This window comes from Homo sapiens, chromosome 8 (assembly GCF_000001405.40).
Source record: "Homo sapiens chromosome 8, GRCh38.p14 Primary Assembly".
Taxonomy (NCBI): domain Eukaryota; kingdom Metazoa; phylum Chordata; class Mammalia; order Primates; family Hominidae; genus Homo; species Homo sapiens.
The window spans coordinates 38822374-38846997 of record NC_000008.11 but is presented as its reverse complement, the minus strand read 5'-3'; the positions used below and the strand labels follow the sequence as shown (position 1 = coordinate 38846997).

The 24624-nt window shown below is 41.2% G+C and overlaps 1 protein-coding gene across 53 annotated transcripts in view, besides 1 other annotated feature; it reads right to left on the bottom strand.

The window, feature by feature from the left end:
* The window catches only part of TACC1 (transforming acidic coiled-coil containing protein 1), a 124447-nt gene that overhangs the window by 6031 nt on the left and 93792 nt on the right, over positions 1-24624 (bottom strand). For 17 of the 53 annotated variants that reach the window (NR_148049.2, XM_047422145.1, NM_001352786.2 and 14 more), the window contains 9 exons: positions 21630-21690; positions 19710-19830; positions 15821-15873; positions 10711-10836; positions 8452-8528; positions 6731-6774; positions 4551-4711; positions 3603-3709; positions 179-299 (listed from right to left, as the gene is read on the bottom strand). Coding sequence is in view for 50 of the 53 variants with exons in the window: in XM_047422145.1 (XP_047278101.1) it covers positions 179-299; positions 3603-3709; positions 4551-4711; positions 6731-6774; positions 8452-8528; positions 10711-10836; positions 15821-15873; positions 19710-19830; positions 21630-21690 (871 nt within the window). In the remaining 3 variants the exon portion in view is untranslated. Of the gene's footprint in view, positions 1-178; positions 300-3602; positions 3710-4550; positions 4712-6730; positions 6775-8451; positions 8529-10710; positions 10837-15820; positions 15874-18427; positions 19831-21629; positions 21691-22972; positions 23009-24624 lie in introns of those variants that run through there. The other 36 variants (XM_047422141.1, XM_005273629.2, XM_011544632.3 and 33 more) reach the window with 7 other exon arrangements.
* Positions 11333-12116: an enhancer, noted in NCBI's record as "H3K27ac-H3K4me1 hESC enhancer chr8:38692400-38693183 (GRCh37/hg19 assembly coordinates)". NCBI's record gives its function as "activates a minimal SCP1, AML or CMV promoter by ChIP-STARR-seq in primed H9 embryonic stem cells {active_cell/tissue: H9 hESC(primed)}" and the evidence as "EXISTENCE:reporter gene assay evidence [ECO:0000049][PMID:30033119]".

The window sequence follows — 24624 nt, the reverse complement described above, 5'->3', positions numbered from 1 at the left end:
AAAATTTAATGGTTTGACTTGTTTGTTTCCACCTGGATCAGTTCAGAAAGGAGCTGGACTGAAATGTCTGAGTAGAAAGCCAAGGCCTCTTTCACCCAGATCTGTCATTAAGTGAGTCACTGCTGAGGAGGAAAACCAAACGTCTCTGTGGCCACCCAGATCAGGTCCCTTTCTGTACCTTCTGCTGCAGGGCCCTTTCCAGGGACTCCACCTTCATCTGCTCTTTGCGGAGTCCAGCATGGAGAGCTGCACTCTCAGCCTTTGCTTTTGTTCGAACCTGAGCAATCTCTTCATTGGCTCTGTTTATGGTGTTTGGGTGTAATAAAGAGACAAAAAGCACATGATTAGCCACTAGTCAAAGCCAGTCAGGATACTAACCACTGACATCTGTGAGGCACAGGCCTCAAAGAATTGACTGCATGAGAGAAAAAAAACAAAAATCGGTGACCTAAATAATTCCATTTTAATTTATAAAAATTCAATTTACAGACAACTTCAAAATTTGTATCTCACTAGCAAATGGTTTCTATAACAGTCTTAGATTTTTTTTTTTTTTTTAGACCAGTACAAAAGCAGACTGCATAATTTTGGAGACGATCACAGCTAGAGTTGGGATACTAACCACTGACATCTGTGAGACACGGGCCTACAGGGAATGAGTTTATTAATGAGATGTGAAAGGCATTCTTTTTTTTTTTTTTTTTTTTTTTTTTTGAGATGGAGTCTCGCTCTGTCACCCAGGCTGGAGTACAGTGGCGCAGTCTCGGCTCACTGCAAGCTCCGCCTCCCGGGTTCACGCCATTCTCCTGCCTCAGCCTCTCCGAGTAGCTGGGACTACAGGCGCCCGCCACCACGCCCGGCTAATTTTTTTTTTTATTTTTAGTAGAGACGGGGTTTCACCGTGGTCTCGATCTCCTGACCTCGTGATCCACCCGCCTCGGCCTCCCAAAGTGCTGGGATTACAAGCGTGAGCCACCGCGCCCGGCCTGAAAGGCATTCTTAAAAACCATAAATGTCAGTTGATGAACAGCCATTAAACTGATGAAAGGATGCTAAAGCCTCATTAGCAATCAGAGGCATGTAAATTAAAATGATAAGCTTTGAAAATTGATTGAATTGGCAAAAATTAACAAGGACAGTCCTGTGTGGGCCGAGATACAAGGAGACAGGCAGGCTCATGTGCCAATGGGCGGCTGAAAACTGGCGCTGCCTTGTGGCGGGCAATGTGGTAGTCACCAGGGCAATTTAAAGTGTACATGCCCTCCAACGCAGCAATGCCACTTTCAGTTATGTATTCACAGAAATACTCCCACCTGGCATAACAGTGAGTGCACAGGATGTTCGCTGTAGTGTTACCTTCAATGTAAAAAAGTTTGTAACTAAGTGCCCATCAATAAAGAAATGCTATAGTTCCACGACCTAATAAAAAGAATTAGATTCAGCTATATGTTCTGACATGAAAAAATGGTCAGGATATGCTATTAAGGGAAAAAGGAAATTTGTCTAATGTGATTCCAATATTGTAAATATTTTTTATAGTTCAAAATCATAGTATTTATAAAGACACAAAGAAACGACTAGAGGGATATACAATAAACCTACGTATAATATATAGAGGCATCTGTAAAACCTATGGAGAAGAATGCATAAGAAATCTAATACAGTACTATGGGAGTGGGAAGGGGACAGGGGAACTTCTGCTTCTACAGATAGAAATTTAGGCAGCAAAATGTACAAGCATGTATTACCTTTTAGTTAAAAAGTCAAGTTGGGAGGCCAGGCTCAGTGGTTCATGCCTGTAATCCTGCACTTTGGGAGACCGAGGCGGGCGGATCACTTGAGGTCAGAAGTTCGAGACCAGCCTGCCCAACATGGCGAAACCCCGTCTCTACTAAAAATACAAAAATTAGCTGGGCATGGTGGCGGGTGCCTGTAATCCCAGCTGCTCGGAAGGCTGAAGCAGGAGAGTCACTTGAACCCAGGAGGCAGAGGTTGCAGTGAGCTGACACTGTGCCACTGCACTACAGCATGGGTGACAGAGTGAGACTCTGTCTCAAAAAAAACCAACAAAAAATCAAGTTGGATAACACTCCCCAGGATAAACTCCAAATGTATTAGATTTAAGGATTAAAAAAACTAAGCCATAAAGTGTAAGTAAAACATGGGAGAATATTTTCTATCCAGCATGGGGAAGATCTTTGTTACTATGACAAAGAATCCAGAAGCTGTAAAAGAAATGACTAATACATTTCAGCACATAAAAGTAAATTTCTGAATATCAAAAAACACTATAGGTGGACGCAAAAGACAAATGATAAACTTGAAAAATTATTCAAAATTCTTATCACAAAGGGCTGGTGTCCCTAATATATAAAATCTATAAAATGACAATAGGAAAATGGGCAAAGAATAGAGTAATTCATAGTAAAGCAAATATATTAATAAATGAATGGTGAAATATATTCAATTTCATTCATAAGATAGATGCAAATCAAAATTACATTGATTAAAATAAATGCTCTGGGGCTGGGCGCGGTGGCTCACACCTGTAATCCCAGCACTTTGGGAAGCTGAGGCGGGCGGATCACCTGAGGTCAGGAGTTCCAGACCAGCCTGGCCAACATGGTGAAACCCTGTCTCTACTAAAAATACAAAAAATTAGCCGGGTGTGGTGGCGTGTGCCTGTAATCCAAGCTACTTGGGAGGCTGAGGCAGGAGAATCACTTGAACCCGGGAGACTGAGGTTGCAGTGAGCCTAGATTGCACCGCTCCACTCCAGCCTGGGTGACAGAGAGAAACTCCGTCTCAAAAAATAATAATAATAATAAAATAAATAAATAAATGCTCTGTTGCTTGCCAAAAACAAATACCTATGTTGAAATACCATTTTCACCTATTTGATTTGCAGAAAATAAAAACGTTGACCTATTGGCACAGTTGTAGAAAAAAGAGATGCTCTCATATATTATCTAGGGCTATCAAATGATAAAAGTCTAATGGGGCCAATCTGACAACACTTATAATTATAAATTCATATATGCTTTGGTCTAGCAATTCCTTTTCTAACATACAGATCATAAAGATAACTCACAGGCATGCAAAACGATCACCTACCAGGTCACTTATTACAGCACTGTCTGTGGCAGCAAGACATTTGAATTAACTTTAATGTCTAACAGGAGGGGATTGTTAAATAAATGATACATTCCAACAATGGAATACCATGTGGCTATTAGAAAAAAAAGAGGAAGCTCTTCTTGCACTGACATGGAAAGATTCTCAAAATTATATTGCTAAGCAAAAATAGCGAAGTATGCTATAATCATATAAAAAAGAAAAAAATTGTAATAGGAAGAAAAAACAGAAACCAACAATGGTGATTACCTGGCATAGAGAAAGATGGGAACCCAGTGGAAGGAGGCAGGAGCAGATATACCTTTTTTTACTTTTTAATGTTTTAACAATGGGAAAAGGGTTTAAAAAGTGAAATAAACACACACATAAAAATACAACCTGGAGTTGCGAAACAGTGATTTTGTTTTCCTCTCTCAATCTTCCCACAACATCATGAAGAGTGAAATTCAACATTTACAAGCTCTTACTTGTCCAGTTTCTCTTCTGCGTGGATTTTCAGGGCCTGGTATCGCTGCTCCTCTTGTTTAACTCTGGCTAAGTAATCCTGAGCACATTTCTTCAAGGCTTCTTCATTCTGTTCCAAAGCAAAAATTGAAAATAAACAGGTCATTTTGTTTCTTCTAATCTACCACATATCAGAGTTTTCATTTTTTAAAGAATGGAAAAATCTAATTAATTCAGATGGCTTTTATTCATACTCTGCAGTAATTTGAAATAGCCACATGTAATTCTCACTGAGGAAATTCTACATAATGTCTTCATGTGTTAATTTTCAATATCATACAGTAAGGGTCAGTTATACCAATATGCCTACTTTAGGAAGGCAGTTATTCAAAACTGAATGGCAATTCGATTTCCATATTTGATAAACTGGCCAGTTTCATTTTTATTTTAATATGAAAATAAAGCCATTTCATTGCTATAATTGTGTCTGGTTGATATGGTAAAGTTAAATTAAATCAACAGGCCCATTTACATCTAAATTTGAAACATTATACTAATGTCTTCTAGAATATGCAGCTTGAATTTTTCAGAGACATGGAATTCCTTCTAATCCCTTTTACTAAAACTGAAAAGGTGAATTACCAGAAAGAACATTTCTAGAATTCACCTGAGGTCTGAGGGTTCAATTAACAGTTCTTGCAGTCTACGCCACAGCCTGGGGCTTATTGGCTTGACACAGGAGAGGAATGGCCAAGACATGGCACCCAGTGGGCCAGATGCCTGAACAACCAAAGAAGGAAAAATGTGGAAAAAAATCCAGCTTCACTGGAATAGAGGATACAAGGCCAGTAGGCCCTGAGCTCCTATTTAAAAGGATACCCACAACCTCTGGCATATGTATTTGATGACCAGTTACCAAGGAAATACACTACTGGAAATACACCAGGAGACAGAGGGAAAAAACACTCTACCTTCTTGAACCCTTCCAGAACACCTTTCAGGTTCTCATATCTCCTGAAGAGATCAGAAAGGGACCTTTCCACAGAGTTAAGGTCAGCCAGGGCCTGTTCCTTCTCCATGGTCAGTTGCTGGAAGCTCTTCTGAGAGGTCATACTTGTCCTTTGTTCATCTTCTGGGAATCACAAGTCAAAAGGAATGACATATTTATTCAAAAAATAGACACTCCTTAGAAGACAAGCAGTGTTCTCGTGGTAGGGACACAGCCGGGGATGTGACCAAATTCCCGCTCTTATGGCTTATACTCTAGTTGGGGGAGACGCGTGGTAACAAGTGATGGGGAAAGAACAAGGCAGGGTAAGGAGGAATGGGGGCGGGGAGGGGGCTGTTACTGTACAGAGAGTACCTGCTCTCAGGGAGAGATCTGAGCATAGACCGGACAGAAATGAGGATGTGAGCCATACAGCTACCTGGGAGAATATTCCATAGAGAAGAACAGCTGTGGTAAGGCCCTGAGCTGGGAAGGCATTAGGTGATGTGGATGATAGAAAGTATCATTTCGGCAATTTAGTGGAGAAAGGACAGACTCTGGTTTAGGGAGTCAATCCTTATGATATAGATGAGAAGAGACTCTAAATTCCATGCAGGAGGATCAATCCCTGTTGTTTTGTAAAGGCACCGCTGGGTCTGATGCAGAGAAATTACAATCTGCACTAGAGTAAGAACCCTGCACCAAAACACAGGATGCTCCCAGTGGGTGTTAGTGATGTGACCAGGCCACCAACAGTCACAGAATTCAAGGCCTGCCATCTTCTAAAATGAACCTAACTACAGTTGACCCTCATTATTCACCAAGTCCATACCTCCCAATTCACCTACTTGCTAAAATTTATTTGTAATCCTAAAATCTATCCTCCTGGACTTTGACAGTCATTTGTGGATGTGTGCAGAGTGCAAAAATGCTTTAGTCACCTGATATGCACGCTCTCAGCTGACAGTGAACAAAGCAATACTCTGCCTTCTTGATTCATTCTATAAACAAGTGTTCTTCTTTTGGTCTATTCAGGCCATGTTTGTTGCACTTGTGTTCTTTTTGCCGGAGACTTCACTGTTTTAAGTGGCCTCCAAGGGCAGTGCCACAGTGCTGTCTAGTGATACCAAGCACAAGAAGGCAGTAAGGTTCCTTAAAATACATACATTACAGAAGCTCTGTTCAGACGTGAGCCAAAGTGCCGCTGACTGTGAGCTCAATGTTAATGAATCAACTATATATATTAAATAAGGTGTCTTTAAACAGGAACACACGTAAAACAAGGTTATATACTGATCAATCAATGAAAATGTTGTGGCCAGATGCAAGACTCTAACTCTGTCTTTTCCCTAGGAGCAGTGTTTATTTACTTATTTATTTTTTGAGATGGAATTTTGCTCATTGCCCAGGCTGGAGTGCAGTGGCACGATCTCGGCTCACCATAACTTCCGCCTCCCAGGTTCAAGCGATTCTCCTGCCTCAGCCTCCCGAGTAGCTGGGATTACAGGCATGCACCACCACGCCCAGCTAATTTTGTATTATTAGTAGAGACGGGGTTTCTCCATGTTGGTCAGGCTGTTTTCGAACTCTCAACCTCAGGTGATCCACCTACCCAAGCCTCCCAAAGTGCTGGGATTACAGGCGTGAGACACCATGCCAGGCCAGGAGCAGTGTTTAGTATTCACTAACTCAGTGTTTGCAGCAACTTTACAGAACATACCTCCCACGAATAATGAGACGACTGTATCTAAGTGACAGACAAATACAAGTTTGTGACATGGTCTGAAAATCATAAATGGATCCGGCTATGGTCTTATAGTTTATGCCACCCCCCAACCCCAAATTTGTGTATTGAAACCTAATCCCCAGTGTGTGAGTATGTTCAGGGTGAAAGTGGGCATGGAAGGGAATTTGGGAGGTGATTATGTCAGGATTAGTGTCCTTATAAAAGAGACCCCAGAGAGCTAGCCAGCCCCTTCTATGAGGAATGGGCCCTCCCCAGACATCTCATCTGTGGGCACCTTGAACTCTCCTGTCTCCAGAGCTATGAAAAATGTTTGTTGTTTATAAGCTACCTAGCTTACATATTTTGTTATACCAGGCTGAACAGACTAAGACAGATCCTATGGCTCATACCCTCAAAAAACAAAATGTTCTCCTTACCAATCATTTGAGCAATAGTCTTTTCATATTCAGCTACAATTTTCCTAAATGAGAAAAAAAGAACTTATTACCAGAGGAGGATTTTCAGACAATGAAAGTTGGAGAAATGCTGTCCCAAACAATTAAACACATTAACATACACTGACAATGTATGTAATCCATTTATCTGCTTTGGGGCTCTCGTTATCTTTTTTTTTTTTTTTTTTTTACATTATATAAGGTTTCTTAAGGTTCTAAAAAGGTTTTTGTTAAGATTTTATCTTTAGTCAAACTTATATTTTACTTATAGAACCAACTGCCTTCCCTTTCTCTTTGCACCTATTTGAATACTGCAAGGAAATAGATTCATTCTGCTTAGATGAGTCAATCTTTTACAAACTAAGTTAAAGATATTCTTCTGGGCTCTTCCTAACAGATGCGATCTGACTTTAGACTTTCCTGAGTCAATCCACCCTTTCAGACACTCTACCTCTGATTCAGTGACAAGTTTTATTTTGTGTCCTAATTCCAAAAGTATTTCACTTATTCAAAGACTTTAAAGATCAACCTCTTGGGTTAACCTTTCTTCTAGTGAAGAATGACAATGTCCTTCTGACCCAGTCCGGTGCTGGGTGCTCTGTGAGTCGCATCACGTCCTCCCCTGCCCTCAATGGTGGTGCCCCCATCACTTTTGACGTCATATCCAAGTTGGTTATTATGGATGGCTACCGCTCTCTAAGAGCAGGAATGTCCCTTCCTTTCCATCAAGCCCAGCAAAGGGCCTTACACCTAGGAAATGCTTAAAAGACAAATAATAAAAGAGCAACAAATTAGAGGGATATACTTAAAATGTTTTTTAATCATTCAAGTGTTGACCACACTGTGTGTGAATTATTTATGCCTTTTTTTCTTCTCTACTTTGATTTCATCTTTAGTCATTTCATGGCTCATAACTCTCCTTTCTAAAAGTGAGGAAAAATAAAAAGATTTCGATTTCAAGTCAATCAATTTTGTTTCTTGTTAACAAGCTTTCTATCATCTATTTGGTGGTTATGTAATTTGAAACTCTCATGCATAATTAATTTTTAAAAAGTATTATGGACCAGGCGCTGTGGCTCATGCCTGCAATCCCAGCACTTTGGGAGGCTGAGGCAGGTGCATTGCTTGAGCTCAGGAGTTACAAACCAGCCTGGGCAACAGAGCGAGACCTCATCTCTAAAAAAAATTATGCAGGCATGGTGGCACATGCCTGTGGTCCCAGCTACTTGGGAGGCAGAGGGGAGAGGATCAGTTGATCCCAGGAGGTTGAGGCTGCAGTGAGCCATGATCACACCACTGCACTCCAGCCTGGATGACAGAGTGAGACCCTGCCTCAAAAAAAAAAAAGTAGTATTATGAATTTCAGTGTCTCTATCATTGGATAAATCTTATTTTTCTGTATTCCAAATGGATATTTTGATACAAATTTCTGTCAGTTCTAAGAAGATAAGAATTATGTGGGTTCTGTTTACATGTTATATGTTCTGAACAACCCAAGATAAACTACAGTATTTGAATATAATAACTGGTTAGCAATAACTCCTGAAATAACATTCTCAATCACAAAGCAAGGTGCAAACAGCAAAGCCCTCAAGCTCTCAACACTTGGTTCTGTGGCAAGCAAACACTGTCATCACTTCATCTGTATCAAATCTAACAGTGCATAAAAGTATCCAGCCCCTCCCCAAAACCTCCAGTCTAACCTCATCTCCAAAACTTCTTGCCGGGTCTCTTCGTATTTCTTCTTCCATTCATTTGCTTCAATCTCTTTAGTAATTATCTAGAGTACAATAAAGCTTAGTTTTACCCAATCTATTACAATTTGCATTTAAGACTGGGAACTGAAATAGCACACAACCAGGTCTAACCCAAGATGTTCAATCTATATTAGAAATATAAACTTCAATATTAAATGTTTGTAACCATTTGGAAAAGTGTATTCTAAGCCACACTGAATGCTGGGATGCAGACACGGGAATAAAGATGAGTAGAACATCTCTCAGAAATCCCAAGTAGTATTTACAGCCTCTGTGAACTTTACCTTGGTCCAGGGTCTAGCTCTCAGCTCTGCAGGGCCAGGCCCTGACTGGGACAGACACCAAGAACAGAGCCATCTGATTGGCAGGTATTCACTCTTAACTAAGGCCATGTAATCACGGCTGATGCCAGGCCACCAGAGTGAAACTGCCACAAAGTCAGACCACTGGAAGTTGGCATGAGCAACACATTCTCTTTCTATAGAGATTTCTGACAGCTTCATAGAAATGGAGTCAGAAGGAGGGGGCTCAGATGAGCTGGCTACATCTAGCTATAGCATCCGTCACTTATGGGTAGAGTCTTGCTAGTTAGCCTGGAACCTAGGCTCATATTTGGGATGCTCTTGCTAACTGGAAGGAAATACTCTAAATTCATTGCCTCAAACTCTATTTGCCCTGGGCTGGGCTTGCATGGGCAGCCTCTTACTGTACTTCCCTGGCCGTGCCGCTCTCTTCCTAATTGGTAGTTTCATTATATTTATTAGGATCTCAAGAACATAGAAGGATGTATCCTGTGTGCTTCAGGTAATCAGGCACCTCTTTACTTTGATCCATTAGGTGGTGATCTCATAGTTTAACTCCCAGGAAAAACATCAAGTCATTTTTCTCATTTACAAGATTTTGGCCAGGGACAGTGGTGCGTGCTTGCAGTCCCAGCTACTCAGGCAGCTGAGGCAAGAGGATCGCTTGACCCTAGGAGTTCGAGGCTGCAATGAGCTATAATTGTGCCACTGCACTCAGCCTGGGTGACAGAGTGAGATCTTGTCTTTTATTTTATTTTTATTTTTCTGAGATGGAGTTTCGCTCTTGTTGCCCAGGTTGGAGTGCAATGGTGCGATCTCGGCTCACCACAACCTTCGTCTCCCAGGTTCAAGCGATTCTCCCACCTCAGCCTCCCAAGTAGCTGGGATTACAGGCATGCACCACCACGCCCAGCTAATTTTGTATTTTTTTTTTTTTTAGTAGAGATGGGGTTTCTCCACGTTGGTCAGTCTGGTCTCGAATTCCTGAACTCAGGTGATCCGCCCGCCTTGGCCTCCCAAAGCACTGGGATTACAGGCATGAGCTACTGCGCCAAGATTTTATCTCAAAAAAAAAAAAAAAAAAAGATTTTGGTGGGCCTTATTACCACTGCTCCCAAGTTTTGAAAACAGGACTAGCTGACATCCCTCATTACCAACTTGATGCTATTTTAGAAAGCTGTAAAAGACCTACAGCTGAGGTGCTTAACCACTTTCAGCATACTATAAAAATTAAAACTAAAAAAAACTATAAAACTAAAAACTATAAAAATAAAATTGCCACACCTTCCTTTAAGAACAGGTGGAATTGTCAAGAAACACACAAAACAAACACACAAAATACAGCATAGATATATGACAGGAGAGGGTGGGCAACTTATTAATGGTACACAACAGTGTCTTTCGTATTTTTCAGATAACCAGGAAAGGCCTAGCAGTGATCTATTTTGAACAAAGGCTGTTCAAGAAACACAATACAGGAATCGGAGAGTTGAACGGTTTAAAGAATGGATGAAAGTAGGAAACAACTGTGTATTACTGCAAAAAAATTACAAATGTTTTTAGGCATTAGCATATATCCTCTGTAAAATAAAAGCACTGATTTAGTTACACATGGGAGCAAAGCTGGCAAAATTAGGTATTTTAAATGTCAGGGCTGAAAGATAAAGAAGGGTACAAAATTCTTAAGAATATTTCAGATTGTCAACATTTTACCCTGGAGACCAGAATGTCAGGACTCCAGCACCACTGCCACAGGGGGCCCTTTTACGACCTAAACAAGCTGCAGGTAATAAGAACTTCCAGCCTGTGATAACTTGAGCCAGCAGAGATGCAATCTACCTGCTGGTACATGGGCCTTACAAAGAAATGGAGTGATAAGCAGACTAAACAGGAGAGCTTTTACCTCTTCTCTTATTAAGGTGAGCACGGCTGTCTTGTCTGATTCGCTGAGGCAGATCCCATCCAGGGGGCTCTCACCTCCACAGGACACCGACACAGGGGCCTTCTCTGCAGAGGACTCCAGCAGCCCCTGTGGGGAAAGGGATTACACTGAATCTGTCAGCTTTCAGCTTCTTAACCCCAGACATCCTTCAACAACTTCCTCATTACTAAATTGATCACATCCTTTAAAACCATGTTTAAAGAAAAGTCAGCGGGGGGAAGCTTTTTAAAAAACAAATCTAATTATGGAAGTAACTAAAGAAAAACTGTTATAATGACTATCAGAGTGGTCTTAGCTTCTGTTGAGCAGATAACCTAGAGAATTTTATTCTGATCTAAAAGGGAGAAAGTGTACTTATAATAGCGGTCAGTCACCAAAGAACCACATGGATAAAAGAGAAACACACCCATGATTAAGTTTCTGGGGATAAGCTCCATGTAAATGGGAATTTCTTTTTTAAAAAAGCAAAAACAAAAACAAGTGACAGCTGCTCCTGTTACATATTGATGCTTTGTATGTATCTTTAGCCACTGCAGATGGAAATGTTTCTAAAATACTAACTTTCAGGCCTAAGAAGGCAGAAATAGCAAATATATTTGAACTCTGAACTCTCACCCCCACCCTTTCACCCGGATGATTCAGGATCATCCTGAACTTCCGCTGCTCCGCAGCGACCTCCTGCTGTAACCCAGCCTGCTGGGTGTGTGCCATTGTTGCCCATATGCAAAATGGCCATACATAAGTCAAGGACCATGCCTGTGTGTTGGTTCTTCCTTGCTACTAAGTTTTCCACTCCCTTCTGGCAGCACTTCGCCCTCTGAGGTGCTGGCTCAGAAGCTCTGAGGAGCTTCTTTCATAAGCTCAGGTTCCAGAGCAAAACACTGGCAAACTTTTCTTTTCATGAGAACATGGACTTTGTACTATTTTCCTTCCTAAAAGACGTTTTTGCTGGCTATTCCTCCTACCTACGGAAGTAAACTTTTTTTTTTTTTTTTGAGACGGGGTCTCACTCTGTGGCCCAGGCTAGAGTGCAGTGGCGCAATCTCGGCTCGCTGCAAGCTCCGCCTCCCGGGTTCACGCCATTCTCCTGCCTCAGCCTCCCGAGTAGCTGGGACTACAGGTGCCCGCCACCACGCCCGGCTAATTTTTCTGTATTTTTAGTAGAGACGGGGTTTCACCGTGTTAGCCAGGATGGTCTCAATCTCCTGACCTTGCAATCTGCCTGCCTCGGCCTCCCAAAGTGCTGGGATTACAGGCGTGAGCCACCGCGCCTGGCCAGAAGTAAACTTTTTATATAAATGAGTCATCTAATACTTTGGGAACATCCAAAATGCCAAAGTGACCTGGAATAATCTTAATCTTAAATGTGGGATAACTAATCAATTAGTTACTGATTATAATCAATCAGTTACATCTTGTGTGAATCAACACTAAACAGAAAGTCCAAGGTGAACGTAGATGAGTGGCTTTTAAATTTTTCAGAGTCATTATAGTTTTACCCTCTCTCTAGAAAATGCTCAGAAACAGAATTTTAGCATGCAGCTTCACAGACCTCAGCCATGGGCCCAAAATAGAAACCTGTCTCAGGCCACAGAAAAGCAAAATACAAAAGCCACAAGCTGGCAGTGCCCATGTTCCAGCAGCATTTGGGGGAGGGCAGCCCACCATGCCAACAGAAGTCCAAGGTACCCACAAAACCTCTCTTTTCTCTCTTGGGAAAAATCTACCACTAGAACCAGAAGGCACTTGCAGTGGGCAGCCTCTAAAATGCCCCCCAGTAACCCCTACCTCCAGTACTAATCCCCTCCCTCTGTAATCTCTTCCCTTTGAGTGTAGGCTGGACCTAGTGACTCATTAGAATATGGCAAACGTCATGGATGTCACTTCTGAGGTTAGGTTCTGAACAAACTCTGACTTCCATGTTTTGAGAAGCTACAGGGAAAGGCCCACGTGGCAAGGAGCCGATGTCTCTGCCAATAGCCAGTGGGGACCCGAGACTTGCCAACAACCACATGAGTGAGCTTGGAAGCAGATCCTCCCCAAGTCAAGCCTGGATATGACTGCAGCCCTGATCAACACCTGGATTGCACAGCCTGTAACAGATTCTGAGTCAGAGGCACCCAGCAAAGCTGCCCAAGATTCCTGACGCACAGAAACAATGAGATAATAAACACTTGCTTTAAGTGTTGGAGTAATGTGTTACACAGCAGCAGATAGCTGATACACCCCTGGACATTTGAATCATCTCACTAACTTCCTGTGCCTTGTTTCTTATCAAGAAACTTTTACTTGCCTAAAGGGAGGTAATACAGGAGGTCAAGTTGAGACTTGATTCACCTCACTGTTAAACTTCTGATTCTAAATTAACAACATTTCATGGGTCAGTCTCTTCTGAGTTCTTAGTTTAAGCCAGAGTCCCCAGGTTAAGTCAACTTTAGGAAACAGACTCTCAGTGCTTTCCATGGCTACCAAGTTCGTGAGAATATGGGAAATACGCCCCCTAAAAATCTTCATAGCCAGGAAAACATCAACATCCATTACAGAGTTCAGCATCTCATTCATTTGTTGAGAGGGTAAATGAATTCAGTCTGCCTGCTTAACAACTCAATGCTAACACATGTGGGGTCTGGAAGAGGCAGCATCCTGAGCAGGCGGTAGGAGATCAAACCTTAGATGGTGTTTAATGTCTCCAGGTGAGTGGGCTCTTCAGCCTGCCGACTCTCCCCAGCCACTCTCCTCTCTGCCTGGCCACATTTACAAACCTCACTACTCAAAATGCAACAACTCTTACAGGTGTCAGGGCAGGAATGTATGCCCTTGCCTACTTTAGCCATCTTTTCCAGTCTCCTAGGATTTAACTTTTTACATTCCTTAGTCCTTTAAGTTGCTTATCAAAAAGTGCAGAACATTTCACAGGGGTGTCCAAGGGAGAGAATGCAGTCATGGGTTCTTAGTTTCTGTTTCTGGTTGGGGCAGTAAAGCCCCTTCCTCATCCCTCTTTTCCGCTTATCACTAGAGACAGAAACTAAAAACTATGGCTTCAGGCTGCTAAAAGCCTAAAACAAAACCAATCAGAACAACAACAACAAAATTAAGCAAGTTGGACAAGCTTGTTATAGAATCTACCATCACAGAGAATTGGCCAGAAGATCTGTTTTAGGCCTGGGCCATCTAATATGTCTTTAATGAAGACGCTAAATCAATCAATCATATCCTTCCAAAAGGGCTTTATTTCATGTTTGCCAGTGCTTCTCCCAGTCCCTCAAAACATTCACAATTGAGGACCAACAAAGACCAGTCTATAGACAACAGAACTCAATGGACTCCCGGTTGCAAATTTACAGTGAGCACAGATGCCACTGATTCCCGTGGCTGTGGAGAATTCGCATCACTAATCTGTGGCAGTGTGCTGACTGTGCTCATTTGTCCTCAATCACAAGAGAGCAGTATCAGCCCCTGCCGTACTCTAACAGAGACGTGCCCAAAAAAGCCAAATGAACTCACCTTTTAAAACATTTAAAACTTAAAAAGAAAAGTTAACTTCTTACGTGAAAAATGCTGTGGAACAACAGCTGAAAAGCAAGGAGAGACTGACTCCTACCACTGATTGTACTCTGGCCTTAGTCCAGCCACCACCTACTGCTGGGCACAAGACCACATAAGAATGGACTTCAGAGCAACACAGATAAACTTAAAAAGTGAATGATGGATTAAATAGATGATTTTTTCATTCAATGTTTTGCATGGTGAAATTTCTTTATACAATGTTTATTCAATGTTCTAAGGAAGCAGAAATTAATTTATGTTGGGAAGTTCAAAAGGAGTTGCTTTTAAAAGGTCACAGCATATGATATGTTCCTCACCAGCTGGCTTCAGAGACAGTGTTTGCCATTTTTCTTTTTCACTCTCTTCCTTTCCACTCTCTTTTCCACGTGTTTCCTATCAACACCACACCAGTGTATTCTAACACAACAGTGTATTCTAGCACACTAGTGTATTCTAGCACTTTACAGCTTAAATCTTTCACGTTGTCATTTCATCTTATCCTTACAACCACTTTGATAAGGCAGATGGGTGCTACTCATTTTATGGATGAATCAGTTGGGAATTAGGAAGTTTAAAGTTTAAGAACTGAGTAAATGGGCTGGGCGCAGTGGCTCATGCCTGTAATCCCAGCACTTCAGGAGGCCAAGGCAGGTGGATCACCTGAGGTCAGGAGTTTGAGACCAGCTTGGCCAACATGGTGAAACCCCATCTCTACTAATAATACAAAAATTAGCTGGGCGTGGTGGCGCATGCCTGTAATCCCAGCTACTGAGGAGGCTGAGGGAGGAGAACTGCTTGAACCCAGTAGGTGGAGGTTGTAGTGAGCCGAGATTGCGTCACTGTACTCCAACCTGGGTGACAAGAGTGAAACTCTGTCTCAAAAAAAAAAAAAAGAACTGAGTAAACCAGCCAGGTGCAGGGGCTCATGCCTGTAATCCCAGCACTTTGGGAGGCGGAGGTGGGCAGATTGCTTGAGCCCAGGAGTTTGAGACCAGCCTAGGTAACATGGCAAGACCCCATTTCTGCAAAAAATACAAAAACTAGCTGGGTGCGGTGGCACGTGCCTCTAGTTCCAGCTACTTGGGAGGCTGTGGTAGAAGGATCACTTGAGCCCAGGAGGTGAAGGTTGCAGTTAGCCAAGATTGCACCACTGTACTCCAGCCTGGGGAACAGAGTGAGACTGTCTCAAATAATAATAATAATAACAACAATAATAATGATAATAATAAACCTTAGTTAACCCAAGACATCCAAAATATTATCATCTCAACATGTAGTTAATATAAAAAGTTGAGACATTTATGCTTCTTCTTTTTCTGAGTAGCTACAGTTCAAGTGCTCCACAGCTACCTGCGGCTAGGGTTACAATGCAGAGACTATGTGTTCCTCAAGTGAAGAAACTATCTCATTTACATTTTATCCTCATCACCTAACACTGACCAGAATTTAACAAATTCACATGGGCTTCAAAACAAATACTGAAAGAAACCTGAGTCCACCCGGCCCTCCACATTCAGGAACTTACAAGCACAGTGGACCCGTCTTCTTCCATCTTCTGGCACGTCTCCTTCTCTATGCCTAAGACAGAAAGTCATTTTTATAGTTATCCCAAGAAGTCGGTTCCTTTCCTCCCTAGTGAAAGGCTCTTGGAAACCCCAGTGCAGGCGAGAATGACTTATGAACACATGAAAAGCATTTTAAGATTTTATTTAAAAGGAGCGCTGGCATTTTGTTGAGTGCTGTTATAAGTCCATGACATTCAGAAGAGGAGCACATGGTTAGTCAGCCACAAACAGGTCGTCAGCCTTCAGGCTGAAAGAACAGCAAGGCTGCCCCCTTGTGTCCATTAAAAGTTTGGAAAAATGTGTCGTACTAACTGTGGCATTATTTCAGAAAGGGGACACTGTGTAACACTGAATGCTTTTTTTTAATCATCAAGTCGGAGTGAATTTAAATTCCAGCCCAGAAGGGTGGCCTTGATCTAATTAATGCAGCAGATAAGATAATAAGCTTTAAAATTCAAGGCAGCGAAACTAAACTCATTCTCCCCTCCACCCCTTCAAATGGGCTTCCTTGTCTCAGGTCTATCCTCTACTCTACTAGGGTAGAGGATGACATTTAAAATAACCAGAAGATGGCTGGGCACAGTGGCTCATGCCTGTAATCCCAGCACTTTGGGAGGCCAAGGTGGGTGGATCATCTGAGGTCAGGAGACCAGCCTAGCCAACATGGCGAAGCCTCATCTACTAAAAATACAAAAATTAGCTGGGCGTGGTGGCGCATGCCTATAATCTCAGCTACTTGGGAGGCTGAAGCAGGAGAATCGCTTGAACCCGGGAGCTGGAGGTTGCAGTGAGTTGAGATAGCGCCACCACACTCCAGCCTGGGCAACAAGAGCGAAACTCAGTCTCAAAAATAAGAAAAATAAAAAATAAAATAACCAGAAGATGCACTCATTAAAGTAAACATAAAAATACAGAAAAGCATACAAAAGTTTAAAGTTACAATCCTCCACATGGCAATCACTAACTACTATTGTTGTCAATAGCTAATTATTTAAAACACAAATGTGACCATCACTCCCTTATTCAAAAACCTTCAACCTCCCCCTCCCTACCTATAGGATCAAGCCCAGATTCCACGGTATGACCTTGTTTCCCACTTGGCCAGATACTTACAGAAAGCAACCAGGCCTTTTACCAACGTGGCAGCTTTCTTCCCATGGCTGTGTGAAAATCTCATTTCCTGGAGAACATCTAGTAAGTATCCATCAGGACCCAGCTTCAAGGGGACACTCACCAGGACACAGTCAGGATTCACCTAACAGGGCCTGTAGCCATTCCCACACCCAGGACCGCAGCCTCCACTTGCTTGTGATGCGGCTGATCAGTTACAATGTAACCACTTGTTTAAATATGTTCCCCTTGCTGTTTGCTAACTTTGAAGACAGCACTGTATGTACAGGGCCCCAGCTCTCTACATAAATTTTTATTGAAGGAATTTCCTCTAGTGAGGAAGAATATAATTCAATAAATGTTTACCATGTACTGTGTCAAAGGTGACTCAAAGATGAGTGGTAGTCTCTAACCTCAGTAAGTTTATAATATTACCTTCCTGTAATTAACACACTGCGCTAGGTACTGTGGAACAGGAAGGGGGAAAGGAAATGTGGGAGCAAAAGCATGCTGGAGAGACCTGAAGGGATGTGCAGATCTGTGTAAGAGGCAGCAAAGGAAGACACTTCAGATGGAAAAAAACCAAGGCAGGTGTTAAGAATACTCAGGATTAACCCCAAGAAACTGGGGGAATGGTGAACAATATCTTTGGGAAAGATGTCAGGGCAGAAGACAGTATTGGAAGAAATCAGGAACAATGCCTGGCATATTATTTTATAGATGAGAGACTGAGGCCTGGGATGAGAAGGAGGCCAGGGGGAATAAATTGCTCCAAGTCCTGACTTTCCATCTGCTTCCCTGGCTTAATGGCAGATCATGACTTTTAAAATTCTATACATAAAAGCCCATGAATAAAATTATGTTAAGAAGATCTGAGTTTTTAATAATGTTTAATGTAGTCAGGAACATGGTTCTAAACTTTTCATAAGTAAAGTTTAAGGCCAAGGATGTAACTGGGGTCCCAAGAAAGAGGGGCTTAGCTCTAGAATGATCTGATGAGTCCATCAATAAGAGGCTTCCACCCTGGTTAGCCCAGGTTCCTCATTGGCATGTTAAGAAAGATTTTACAGTGCACTGGTCAATCTCAACTTACCACATCTGTACCAGGAAAATTTACAGTAGCCTAGTATCATGAAAATAATCTCTTCATACTTTGGCATTGTGGCGAAAAGACCATGGAACCAGACTGCTTAGAGTCAAATGTAGTTCTACCATTTACTAATGATGAGGTTCAGAACACACTTCACCAAAATATGGTGCCTTCGCATTTGAGGACACAGCAGAAGCAGGGAGGTCTCTCGGCCCCTCTCCTGCCCCCTTTCCTGAAGCAGGCCATAAAGCAACCCCTCAGACCTTCCCCTGAAAATAGTTCATAAGACCTCATTACAAGAGGGGTCCTCCCTGTACACAGAGAAAAACAATGTCCTTATCCTGAAAGACACAGACACCAAGAGGAATTGGAACAAACAGGACTTGCTAAGTTCCCCTGGTTTATTACCACAGATCACACCCTTCTGTCCTCCAATTATACTTCTGCACAACTATCTATAAAAGTACAGTTTTCCCTGTTCCTTTGGGTCTTCATTTCTGGAGGCTCTAATGTCATGTAAAACTTATATTAAATATATTTGTACACTTTTCTCTTGTTGATCTTTTGTTAGAGATGTCTCAGCCATGAACCTTGTGGTGAGGAAAAAGATACCACTTTTCTGTCCTACCCTAGCCAAGTGACTTTAATCAAGTCACTTAACTTCTTTGACTTACTTTGTTTCTCTGAAGAAGTGAGAAAAGGGTAACACCTTGCTATGAATGAGTATATGCAAAGCACTTAAAACAATGCCTGTACATGGTAAGGCACCATACATGTCAGTTGTTATTTCTCTAAGTTAAACAATGAGTATAACAATCACAAAAAAGTCAAACATATGACATATTTATAGGCCATTTGATATAGTTTAAATATTTGCCCCCTAAATCTCATGTTGAAACCTGATCAACAGTTGGAAGTGAGGCCTAATGGGAGGTGGCTGGGTCATAGGAGCGGATCCCTCATGAATAGCTTGGTGCCCTCCTTGTGGTAATGAGCGACTTCTTGCTGTTAGTTTCTGTGAAATCTTTGTTAAAAATAGCCTGGCATCCTCCCCGCCCCCTCTTCCTCCCACCTCTCGCCATGTGACACACTTGCTCCCCCTTGCCTTCCACCATGATTGGAAGCTTCCTGAGTCCCTCACCAGAAGCAGGCACTGGTGCCATGCTTATTCTACAGTCTGCAGAACCATGAACCAAATAAACCTCTTTTTCCTATAAATTAGCCATTCTCAGGTATTCCTTTACAGCAACGCAAATGAACTAACACACCACTATACTTTAAGATATGGCCATATTCACATAAAATTATAAAGAAATTCAAGCAGTCTCACATACATCAGCATCTCCTATACAACTTGTCACAAGTATCTCTACGTTCCTAGTACTTCAATAAGCACTTTGTGTCCCTTTTCCAGGTAAAGAAGCAAAGCATAGGTCAGCATCCTAAATCTATCCTTCAAGTGACCCAATTCTTTAATCTCTGTAAGGCTCCTCCTGCTTTATTAGGCTTTCAGGCATTTCCATGCTTATGTACATTAGAAAGATGAAGATATGCTTCCATACCTGCTTCTGAGGATGAAAACGCATGATTTATGGTAGACACAGGAACATTGGAACATTCAAAGTACTCCAGGTCTTCCTCTGGCTCACCTTTCACCTCGGCACCAGCTGATTTCTGACCACATGACGTGGATGCCAGTTTCTCCTCATCAGTAGCATGGCCATCCCTATTAGAAATGTCTGAAATCTGGGAGATCACTGCCCCTTCATCCTGAGAAACACAACAGAGAAGATGCTACCCTTTAGGAGGGCAAGCAATGGGGAAAAGTGACATCCCATGAATGGAACAAAGTAGACACAACTCCATACAGATATGTGAGAGGTTAACCACAGACCTGGGTACAAAGCAAGGAGGAAGTTGGAGTCTTTCAATTGTGAGATGCTGTTTTATAGAACCTAGTTTCTGTAACTTGAGTCTGAGGTTTTAAAAAATGATCTTCTCTAGGTTAAGTTTATAAGCAAGCAGTTTCAGTGGTTTAAGACAATGGTTTTCAATTTTTTTGCTCATATACCTAATTTTTTTTTGAAAATCTATGTCCCCCATTGCATTTTCAAGTGACATCTAAAAACTTTTTGGCATAAGTTTAAATAATTGCAAAGAATGTAATATCTGGAATATTCTAAATATTGAATTTACTTAATGCTATCTAGTTACCTTAGTGATTTGATACCATATGTAAATTTAAATGAACAAGTTCCTGAATAAGTCAGAAATTTATGTTATTCCTTTTCCTCTCTAAATCTGTATTTCCATCCCACTTCCATCAAGAAACTATCCAAATGAAAAACATCTGCATGGTTGAAAGTCTTTTTAAAAGTCTCTATCCAATGTCTCTGTGAAACTTTTTTCTTTAAGTCTTAAAATTTTTTCTGCTGGAGACTTATCACATTTATTAATGCACAACTTATTTTCAAAATATTGCAAGTTTTGATAAGTATTATCAGACACAAAAGTAAGTTGTTATATCAATTACAAAATGTTTTATTGCACTAATTCTTAAAAACTTTTACAGTGCACTAAATATATGGGTTTTGGGTTTTTGTTTTTGTTTTTTAAAGAAAACCAAAGATAAATTTCTCATAGTTCTTGCTGCCTACTTTAGCAAAATCTGAGGGAGAATGTTACACATTTGTTAACAGATGAAAAATAACTCAGATTGTAAATTTCCCCCATCACACCCCTTTTTTACATCTTACACCATATACCAAGTTTCTGATCCAAATTGTAGAGGAAAAGTTATGTTAAATTGAACTCTATTAACCAATGAATGTATTTCTGTAATAAGTATACTGAGAAAGTTTTAAAAAGAACAAAAGGATCTCATTGCAATCAGATGGGCCTGGGCTTCGCTTTGTTTTGCAATTAGTTTATACGGTCATGGATGGATATTATTTATTGCTAGAATGTAACAAAGGTCAACATCAATTTTATTCCTGGTTTCTATTTTTATCAATATAATCATTAAGAAACCTTATTTATATAAACAATAGATGAAACAGAAAGTAGTTCTGTAACATAAGTGCCTTTCAATTCTTTGAACCCCTTTCCAAGTTATGTGCCCAAAAAAATCTACCATCAAACATTATTTTTAGACCTATCAGCTGACAACTCAGGTTTTCCTCTATTGTTGAAAGCAATGAATTAGAAAACCATCTGACTTAAGAAAAATACCATCCAGTTATTAGAGTCAATTATCTTATTAGAACCTACACCAGTATTTCAGATCTTCCCTTCGGTGCCCTGGAGACTTTCACACCCTGTGGTGATGCATCTTTGTAGCATTTAAAGTGGGAATTTTACCAAAAAAAAAAAAGAGTCATTGTGAAAGGGTTCCCTTGTCTTCAGGGGCCTTCTCTTCAGGGACAGTAAGGATCTGGAAATTGGCTTCTTAAAGCTGAGTACTCAGGTACCCATTGGAAAGTCCTTTTGAACCACCCGCCAGGGGGATGCAAACTCCCACTGGAGGACCCCTGGTCTCAGAGACATTCTGGAGATGGGCACAGACTCACCCGAGAACATGCATCCAGGGCGAGAGACTGAGTTTCATGCTTCTTCACCTTACAGCCACTCCTGGAAAGAGAAGAAACACAAACAAGCCAGTTTGCAATCACACTGACAATTGTCAAGGTATGAAATGGAGCAGACAGCAGTGTGTGCGGATAGAAGCCAAAGCATACAGCACCACACAAATCATACATCGCCGCAGGAGAGAGGCAGGGACACCTTTTATGCCTCTGAGTTTTCTCCAGAGAGACGGGGTAAGCAAAGACCTACAAGCGGGGCTCATTCTCTGAAAAGACCCCCTCAGCTTGCTTCTATGAGTTGTCAAACAGTAGCACTCTGATGTCTATGGTTTTTAATTACACGCCACCAAAAGCTTTGCAGACAGTAGAGCCTTAGCAGCTGGAGACATTCAGTTCCTCTGAGCCTCACTCGCTTGGCTTTGACATTCATTAGAAAAATCATCACGCTGGACCAAATTCTTTAAAAATTCTTTATTGCACTAAAAGCCATAGACGTCTCATAAAACAGTTCCAGTTAGACTTGTGTGCTCACAGAGAAGAACTGTCATCAATAAAAAGTATAAAAGTAAAAATATGTGAGTAAACTGTTACCATTCCTATTAAGTAGTAAGATGGAAGATGAATGTCACACGCTGCACAAAGCCTGAAACTGGGGAAGCTTGAACCATCTGTTATTTGTAGATTAGCACACAACTTGTGATCACAGGACTAATTCAGATTCTGTTCTAATAAACTTAGAATTTCCAGGAAAAACACCACTGTGACCAAAAAAAGAGAAAAAATTATTTGCAACTTTTTTTCTTTTGTGAGAAAAAATACAAAGACAAGCACATAAGTTACCGGAATGTGCATAATCACTAGTTCATGATCTTCTTTCCCTAATCTTCTTACTGAGTGCTACCCTCTGCCACCAAACTCAAGTTGAGCTGACTCAGTAAAATTTATTAACTGTTCCAAGCCAGTAGCTTTATGCTACCAAAAAAGCCAATGATTTCCAATATTAAATAGCAGAACAGTCCCTCAAACCACTGCTGTGATGATCTTGGGGCCAAGCCAGCTTTTGGTATTGTCAAAGCGCCACGTGACACCTGCCAAGCCAGGGAGTGCAAGCTCTAGCACCTAAGGTGTAAAGGCCAAGCCCCACTCCCTTAGGTATGGACAACTGCAAGGCTAAGCTGACTCATGAAGTGACTGATGAAATGCAAAAAAATCATCAGAAGATCAAACTCAGAATTAGAAGCAAACATGCTATGGAGAGATGGCTGGGGGAGGGGAGAGAGGAAACTGCCAACGGTCCCAGGGACTAAAGAAACAGCAGGAGTACTTACAACAGAAAACAGAGAAATTTCACTTGTTCAGTAGTCCTGATGCACCAACAAAATTAGAGACAGGAAAGAGACAGACAGATGGAGAAAAAAATCATGTAAAGACTGGAATATTCAACTCTAGTCTGGCAGATGTAAAAGCTGCACAATTCTTTCTATGAGGTGAGATACAAATTAAAAATGTCGTATTCATGAATGTTATCACCAGTGAGTGAATGATGAACAGACCTCAACTACAAAGGAGACTGGTAGAAACACTCAGAAATGCCACAAATTCAAATTTACAGATGAAAAATAAACTTCCAAGAGGTCTAGCACTCCTTTCTTCTAAAAAGAACAAGACGACAAGATTTTTGATTGCATAAGGCCTTAAAAAAAGCCCTATTAAGTGTATTAGATCAAGAAGTTCATTCAACAAAAACAGAATAGGGGAAAAAGGCTACTGGGTGAGGGTGGCAGGACTCGAGAGACGGTGCTTCTTGCTGCCGAATATAAAGTGTAGAATAAATTACCCTTTCTTTGGCCCAGATTTCATCTTATTTAATGCATTGGTTGCATGCAACTCAAAGACTCACAAATGACTCCTTATCAACTTCAGTATGCAGAAGCATCCCACATTTAGGGGAGGAAGTACCTAGGCAGTGACGTGCCCAGTACATACCCTAAGTGCTGTCTAGAGAGGAGTAACCAACCTTAAAAGCCACAAAAGAGGGCACCCAATCAATAATATTTTCCAACAACCATTTAACTGCTTATATATAATCAAAGAACAGATCGAGAGCTACTAATGACATTTCACTCCCCTTAGCCATTCCGGGGCTGCTGAGGAACTGGTTCCTATATCTCTCTACTTTCTTGGTACTGAAGTTGATCCTTCTGCTCTTTAAACCTCTGGGCGTCTTCCTTTCTGCTGTAAGTCACCATGATATCTGGAGTTTTTCTTTAAGTCATAGCAATGCTGAGAAGCATTTCCCCAACTGATCTACAGTGACAAGTACAAACACAGTGCTTCTCATACTCCCATATTTCATCCTGCATCTCATTGGTCCTTCTTTATATCTACATTTTACTCAAACTTTTTAGTAAAATGTGGCCCTTTTTAGGGCCACAAAAGGATATACAGTCAGGTGCCATGTAATGACATTTCAGTCATGCATACGATGGTGGTCCCGTAGGGTTATAATGGAACTGAAAAACTATTGTCTAGTGATGTCCTGACGATCCTGAGTAGGCCTAGGTAATGGGTAGGCCTAGGTAATGTGTGTGTCTGTGTCTTAGTTTTTAACAAAAATTTTAAAAAGTAAACAAATAAATAATTTTACACAAAGAAAACTTATGGAATAGGTATATAAAGAAAATATTTTTGTATAGCTGTACCATGTGTTTGTGTTTTAAGCTAAGTTTTATTACAAGAGTCAAAACTTCTTAAAAAATTTAAAAGTTGATAAAGTAAAAGTTACAGTAAGCTAAACTTAATCTATTATTGAAGGAAAAAAACTTAAATAAATTTAGCATAGCTGAAGTGTACCGTGTTTATAGAAGCTACAGTAGTGTACAGTAATGTCCAAGGCCTTCTCATTCACTCACCACTCACTGACTCACTCAGAGCAACTTCCAGTTCTGCAAGCTCCATTCATGGTAAGGGCCCTATACAG